This window comes from Homo sapiens, chromosome 4 (assembly GCF_000001405.40).
Source record: "Homo sapiens chromosome 4, GRCh38.p14 Primary Assembly".
Taxonomy (NCBI): Eukaryota; Metazoa; Chordata; class Mammalia; order Primates; family Hominidae; genus Homo; species Homo sapiens.
This window is the reverse complement of record NC_000004.12, coordinates 141382334-141390399: the sequence shown is the minus strand read 5'-3', so window position 1 is coordinate 141390399 and position 8066 is coordinate 141382334.

The window sequence follows — 8066 nt, the reverse complement described above, 5'->3', positions numbered from 1 at the left end:
ACCAAAGAAATCTACATAAAATATGGGCTTTAATTAGTGATAATGTATCAATGCTGTTCATTAATGTACCATACTAATGTAAGATGTTAATAATAAGAGAAACTGAATGCACAGTATATGAGAATTCCTATACTATCTTCACAATTTGGAGTGTAAATCAAAACTTTTAAAATAAAAAATTTTATTTTAAAAAATTTGACAGGGCACAAAAAATAAAAGGAACAAATAGAAGGATAACATTAGAGAAAGCTAAGGGATATAGAAGAACAATAGCCATCATTAAGACTTTAAGAGAGAATGGAGGAAAAATAAATAATAACATCCCCTCCAAAGATGTTCATATCCCAGTCCTCAGAATCTGTGATATGTTCCTCACATGGAAAAAAAAGACTTCAGATATGATTAAGGCTAAATGGCATTGAGATGAAAAGATTATCCTGATCATCCAGCTAAGCCCAACCTAATCAAATGAGTCTTTAAAAGCAGAGAACATTTTCAGAGGTTAAGAGAGTAAGACACCAGCATGAACAATGCTGGATTTGTTCCTGGTAGCTATCTAGACAAAGGAAGCAAGTCATGAGTCAAGGAATGCAGGTGGTCTCTACAAGCTGGGAAAGGCAAGAAGATAGATCCCTCCCACCCCATTGTCTCTAGAACAGTATGCAGCCCTGCCAACATCTTGATTGTAGCCCAGCATCAGATTTCTGACCTACAGAACTGTAAGACAATACGTTTCTATTGTTTAAGCCACTATAATAATAATAATAATCCTATCTGCATTAGCTAGGAGCTTGTGCACCAATTAGAATTTACCCTGAAGGCTGAATTGGACCCAGAATGATGAAAGTCATAATATAATCCTGACTGAATGTTTGAGGGAAGAGGAAAAGTACAAAAAATCTATACTAGGCACTAGGCTGAATGAATTACCAAATGTGTATTTAATCTTCACGACAAATGGGTGAGATTTATTGTGCCTATGTAATTTTCAGTTCTATAATTTCCATTTGGTCTTTTTTAAACATTTTTATTTTTACGCTGAGATTTCACATCTTACAATTCATTGTGAACATATTTTAGTTTTATCTCATTAAGGATACTTTTAATAAGTGCTTAGAAGTCCTTCTCTGCTGATTCCAAAATATGGCTCACCTTAGGGTTGAACTCATTTTATTTTCTTTCCTCTAGCAACTGTGTTCCATTTTCTTGTTGTGTTTTTGTTGTTGTTGTTGTTGTTCGTTTGTTTAGGTTTGGTTTTTTTTTTTATACAGGTTGGGTAATTTTATATCTTATTCTGGATATTGTGAATGTTAAATTGTGGAGATTCTAAACACTGGTTTTTTTTTTCCAATGTATGTTGCTTCTTTTACTTTAGCAGGCAATTATTTTGGCTGGGCTTAAATTGAAATTCTGATTTAGGGGTAGAAGTTCTAGTCCCTTCTCATACCTTTGTTGTTGTTGTTATTGTTAGCTGAGCTGCTAAGTCTGTGCAAAACATTAATGTTCTAGGGATCAGTCAGATATGTGGGTAGACAGAATTTTTTAATCCCTTTTTTGACTCTTTCCTTTCTGGTATTCCCCTACTCCTCTCAGCAGCCACATGTCCCTGGCTTCAGTTTTCTGCTTTCTCTGGCAAGAAAGCAAGTATGTTTTCCTACTGTTGTTTATGCCTCTCTAAGAGAGAAGAAAATGAGGAACCTACTTCTAAACCCCCTCAAGGCCCTCTTCTGAATACATACAAAGGAATGCTTCTGTTCATTCTCCAAGTAGTTGCTCTTTGTATTAAAGCCAAGTTTCATAGTTGTTTTCTGCAAAGACGTCATCCACTAGCACCTTGGCCTATTATTCCCAGAAGCAGACGTCCCCCTCAATCTTTCGATTCTAAGGAAAACAAAATTTCTTCCACTCCACTGATCTTCAAAAGTCAAAAAAACCCTACATTTTTTAAAGAAGATGGAGTTAAAAAATTTTCAGTGCAAATGATTAAATTTCTAAAAATTTTTATTCTTACATCTTTAAAAATCGATAATGGAAACCAGATAAAGAAGCTTCTAGGCAACAGAGCGAGACTACGTCTCAAAAATAAAAAATAAAAAGGAAAAAAAAGAAGCTTCTAGTATTTTTAAAGTATTAAGTGCCTACCAACACAGCACTAAACGCTTTCTTATTATCTTACTTTTTGCATTAGCACTGTCAGATGTATTCTATTTCAAGTTAACACTTGAGGAAATTGAAGTTCGGAAAGTTTTAGGAAGTAGCAAGACTAACCTGTCTTCTGAATGCAAGTCCACTGTTCTTTCTATTAAGACATGGTTTCCAGCGGAAGGTAAGATGCCTAACTTTGAAAAAATTTGCCAGAACTTAAAAGGAATTAAAAATATAAATTCTTAAATCATTTTTCATTGAGGCCTTCAATTAATTGTCTGTTTAATGAAGGCCAAATTTGTGTTAGGCACAAGGATGAATATGAGTGGCCCATGCCCTAAAAGGAATTCACAATCTAAGGAAATATGTATGTATAATTATCTCATAAGTATACATTATACAGTGACTTACTCCATCACTAAACCCATATTCTCATAAGAAAGTTTGCTTCAATACAGAAAAGACATCAAAGTTTATGGTTAATTGCTTATTAGTTACAAACTTCTATAACCCTCAAGTGAAAGCAAAATATTTGTTTGTCTTATATAACAAACTACAAACATCAATCTGAACATTATGAGCATTGGTTCATGATTCATTTGGTCTAGGTCTTTCATGAAATAATAAGATTAAAAGATGTTTATAAAGAATTTTAACCACCAAATATAAAACAGCAGATACAATGTCTTTCTTGGAACATTGGGAAAGAACCAGTGCCAAATCAGAGACCTGTTACTACTCATATCCTTTACAGAAGATGTAGTGCAGGAATTATGCATGCGTAGGGTCTATCATTTTTCCAGATCAACTTGGAACTATGAGGCAGTGGCAGTGACCACTGAGGAATTGTTAAGAGGCTAGATACAAAAACGATGACCTCAAATAACAAAGCTAATAAACAACAGCAAGGAAGACAGATAGTTGGGAGGGATTAAAAAATGGGTTTTGTTAAACTGTGTTTATTCAAAATGCCAGAACTGGAGGCAAATTCTACTAATTGCACTAAGACCAGAATGAAGTAATCCCGGATATCTTAATCTAAGGCTGAGCGCATTAGCTCACACCTGTAATTCCAGCATTTTGAGAGGCAGAGGCAGGCAGATCATTTGAGCCTAGGAGTTCCAGATCCAGCCTGGGCAACATGGTGAAACCTCGAAAAAAAAAGAAAGAGAGAGAAAGAAATTCCATGAGAATTTTAACTAATTTCAGAATAGTTAAAATTTTAACTAATTTTAGATATTAGCATAAAGTTTCCCATCCAGAGTCCAAAAATACACAGATGTCTGCCACCACTCTCTTTTCCAAAACGATCACAGATAAGAATAATTAATGGCAGGACTCCTTTGCACTGAATGCCTACTTAGTTTCCTGATTCACCTCCAAGAGTGAGTATCTGGGGAAGGGCGCGGTGGCTCACGCCTGTAATCCCAGCACTTTGGGGGGCCGAGGCGGGCGGATCACGAGGTCAGGAGATAGAGACCATCCTGGCTAACACGGTGAAACCCTGTCTCTACTAAAAATACAAAAAAAAAAAAAAAAAAATTAGCCGGGCGTGGTGGTGGGCACCCCATGCTGTCGTCCCATCTACTTGGGAGGCTGAGGCAAGAGAATGGTGTGAACTCGGGAGGCGGAGCTTGCAGTGAGCCGAGATCTCGTCACTGCACTCCAGCCCGGGCGACAGAGCGAGACTCCGTCTCAAAAAAAAAGAAAAAGAGTGAGTACCTGGGCAGCCACTGTCAACCAGTCGGAGCTAGCACTGAAGGCCACATTAGCACTTCATCCCTGATAAAGTCAGTGGTAGGTGTTGAAATGGAAAGATTTTATACAATTAGGGCTGAAGAAACTGAGGCCTAGGAAGCTTAGCCAAATTGCCCAGAATGGCAGTGTCTATACCTGAAAGACGTATGGTTTGCTAGTTGAGACCATGAACGTGAAACCACCTGCTACTTTCTCTTCTTGCCAAAATTTCACTTGCATTGCGTATACTTTGTATGACAGTAGCCATGTTATTAACCTGGTTGTCCCAGTTTTTAAAACGCATCCCTAAACAGAAGATTTGCAAAAGTTATAATATTAACAGAGCTGGCCTTAAAATTAGTTTAGATACTAAGAAGTTATGATTCAACAAATAACTTAAATCATTAAATTCCCAGAGATATTTTCCCCCAAGGCAGAAAGTACATCTAATGTTTCATGTCTATTCTTTTATACTTTTCTGTGCTTTTATATAATAAAAAGAATTAAAAGTGGCTTTAAAACTAACAGCTAAGAATTATATATCCAGAAGGAAAAGAAATATCAGGATAATAGAATAATATTTTTTATGAAATATAAGTGGCAGGCTGGGTGACATATTTTAAATTAGGCTTTCTGGAAAATCAATCTTTGGACACACAGATTTAAAAAACATTTGAAACAAATGACAAATGAGAGCAAGTAGATGGGTTGATGGCTGGAAGTGAAAAGCAGTCAAACACATGCCACGCAGTAGCTCAGAAGAAATTGTCAAAGAATAGATGAGAAAGACAAAAACTGGCATGCTAAAAACAGTTCTTAACCAGAGCAAAGGATACTGGCCGAAAAGGTGGAAACTTACGTATCAAGCCTAAGTAGTAGATGTTAAAGTAACATCCTTGGAAGCAGAGACAGAGTGGTAAAAATGGAAGCTGAGAAAGATGAAGATTTTGTTGAGAGAAAACACTTCCTAACACAATAACTTAAAAGATACAGGAAGCAGTTTTATAAATAATAATAATAATAAAGCAACTTAAAATTTTCAGTCATTATTTTTCTGTTTCCATCTTTAAAATATAGCTTAAGCAGGCCTTTTTAACTAAAAGTTAACCTAGCAGGAAACAGGTGTTTGCTAGGACCCTCGCAATAAAGTACTATAAACTGGATCAGTTAAACAGGAGAAATTTGTCATCTCACAGGCCTAGAGACTACAGGTCTGAAATCAGGGTGTTGGTTCTTCTGAGGACTGTGAGGAAACTCTGTCTCATGCCCCTCTCCTAGCTTCTGGTGGTTGGTTGACAATCTGTGGCATTCCTTGGCTTGTAGGTGCCTCACCCAATCTCTATCTTCATCTTCACATGGCTTTCTCCCTACGTGCATGTCTGTCTCCAAGTCCAAATTTCTCTTTTATTAGGACACCATTCATAATAGCTTTGGGCCCATTTTAACTAATGACATCTACAAAAACCTTATTTCCAAATAAGATCACATTCCCAGGTGGTAGGGATTAAGACTTCAACATATGAATTTGGAAGGGGGGACACAATTCAACCCATCACAAGATGGGAGAACCAATCACTCTCTAGCTATTGCTAGAGGTTTTCAAAGCATCTTCTCAACTCAGTTATCTTGAGGAGAAAGTGAGGTATCAAACACAAATCATCTATGACTGGAGGTTATATGCATACAGAGCTTATCAACTACCTGGGGATCAGATTGAAGGCAGTGACCCCATACCCTCACCTTAAAGCAGTTTTTCAACCTACATCTGATTGGTATTTCAGTTCAGATAATTCATCAGGGTTAGGGGAGGACTGTACTGGGTACTGTGAAAGGTTGTTTGTTTGTTTGAGATGGAGTTTCACTCTTGTTGCCCAGGATGGAGTGGAATGGCACAATCTCAGCTCACCGCAACCTCCACCTCCCGGGTTCAAGCTATTCTCCTGCCCCAGCCTCCTGAGTAGCTGCGATTACAGGCATCCACCACCATGCCCGGCTGATTTTATATTTTTTTTTAGTAGAGATGGGGTTTCTCCATGTTGGTCAGGCTGCTCTGAAACTCCGGACCTCAGGTGATCCGCCTGCCTCTGCCTCCTGAAGTGCTGGGATTACAGGCGTGAGCCACTGTGCCTGGCCAACTGTGGAAGTTTTAACAACACCTCTGCTTTACCTACTTGATGCCAATAGTACTGCCCTTTCCCCAGTTGTGACAATCAAAAATGTCTCCAGACATCTTCAGTGTCCCTTGGGAGGCAACACAGAAAGGACCTGAAAATCACTGTTGGAAAAGAAAATGACGAAATTTTCAAAAAGAAAAATTAGTTAATGGAGTTTTGGTTTGGGACCCAAACTAAGCATGGGGCTAAAGGTAAATACAAAAGTTACATATCTAGCTAAGTCTATAAAGAGAGAAGGATAAGGATTAGGCTTAAGTATAAAGGAAAAAGTTGAGAAAGTTAATGAAACCAGATATTCTTTTTGAATGTTAATTTTCATATAAGTTGGGTTTGTTGAAAAAAAAAGACTGTCTCTCAAGTTTATACATCAATTAACATATTTTAGCCATTGCAGAAGACAAATTTCTTTTTTTTATTATTTTATTATTAATATACTTTAAGCTTTAGGGTACATGTGCACAATGTGCAGGTTAGTTACATATGTATACATGTGCCATGCTGTTGTGCTGCACCCATTAACTCGTCATTTAGCATTAGGTATATCTCCTAAAGCTATCCCTCCTCCCTCCCCCCACCCCACAACAGTCCCCAGAGTGTGATGTTCCCCTTCCTGTGTCCATGTGTTCTCACTGTTCAATTCCCACCTATGAGTGAGAATATGCGGTGTTTGGTTTTTTGTTCTTGCGATAGTTTACTGAGAATGATGATTTCCAGTTTCATCCATGTCCCTACAAAGGACATGAACTCATCATTTTTTATGGCTGCATAGTATTCCATGGTGTATATGTGCCATGTTTTCTTAACCCAGTCTATCATTGTTGGACATTTGGGTTGGTTCCAAGTCTTTGCTATTGTGAATAGTGCTGCAATAAACATACGTGTGCATGTGTCTTTATAGCAGCATGATTTAATAGTCCTTTGGGTAAATACCCAGTAATGGGATGGCTGGGTCAAATGGTATTTCTAGTTCTAGATCCCTGAGGAATGGCCACACTGACTTCCACAAGGGTTGAACTAGTTTACAGTCCCACCAACAGTGTAAAAGTGTTCCTATTTCTCCACGTCCTCTCCAGCACCTGTTGTTTCCTGACTTTTGAGTGATTGCCAATCTAACTGGTGTGAGATGGTATCTCATTGTGGTTTTGATTTGCATTTCTCTGATGGCCAGTGATGGTGAGCATTTTTTCATGTGTTTTTTGGCTACATAAATGTCTTCTCTTGAGAAGTGTCTGTTCATGTCCTTCACCCACTTTTGATGGGGTTGTTTGTTTTCTTCTTGTAAATTTGTTTGAGTTCATTGTAGATTCTGGATATTAGCCCTTTGTCAGATGAACAGGTTGTGAAAATTTTCTCCCATTTTGTAAGTTGCCTGTTCACTCTGATGGTAGTTTCTTTTGCTGCGCAGAAGCTCTTTAGTTTAATTAGATCCCATTTGTCAATTTTGGCTTTTGTTGCCATTGCTTTTGGTGTTTTAGACATGAAGTCCTTGCCCATGCCTATGTCCTGAATGGTAATGCCTAGGTTTTCTTCTAGGGTTTTTATGGTTTTAGGTCTAATGTTTAAGTCTTTAATCCATCTTGAATTAATTTTTGTATAAGATGTAAGGAAGGGATCCAGTTTCAGCTTTCTACATATGGCTAGCCAGTTTTCCCAGCACCATTTATTAAATAGGGAATCCTTTCCCCATTGCTTGTTTTTCTCAGGTTTGTCAAAGATCAAATAGTTGTAGATATGCGGCGTTATTTCTGAGGGTTCTGTTCTGTTCCATTGATCTATATCTCTGTTTTGGTACCAGTACCATGCTGTTTTGGTTACTGTTGCATTGTAGTATAGTTTGAAGTCAGGTAGTGTGATGCCTCCAGCTTTGTTCTTTTGGCTTAGGATTAACTTGGCAATGCCGGCTCTTTTTTGGTTCTATATGAACTTTAAAGTAGTTTTTTCCAATTCTGTGAAGAAAGGCATTGGTAGCTTGATGGGGATGGCACTGAATCTATAAATTACCTTGGGCAG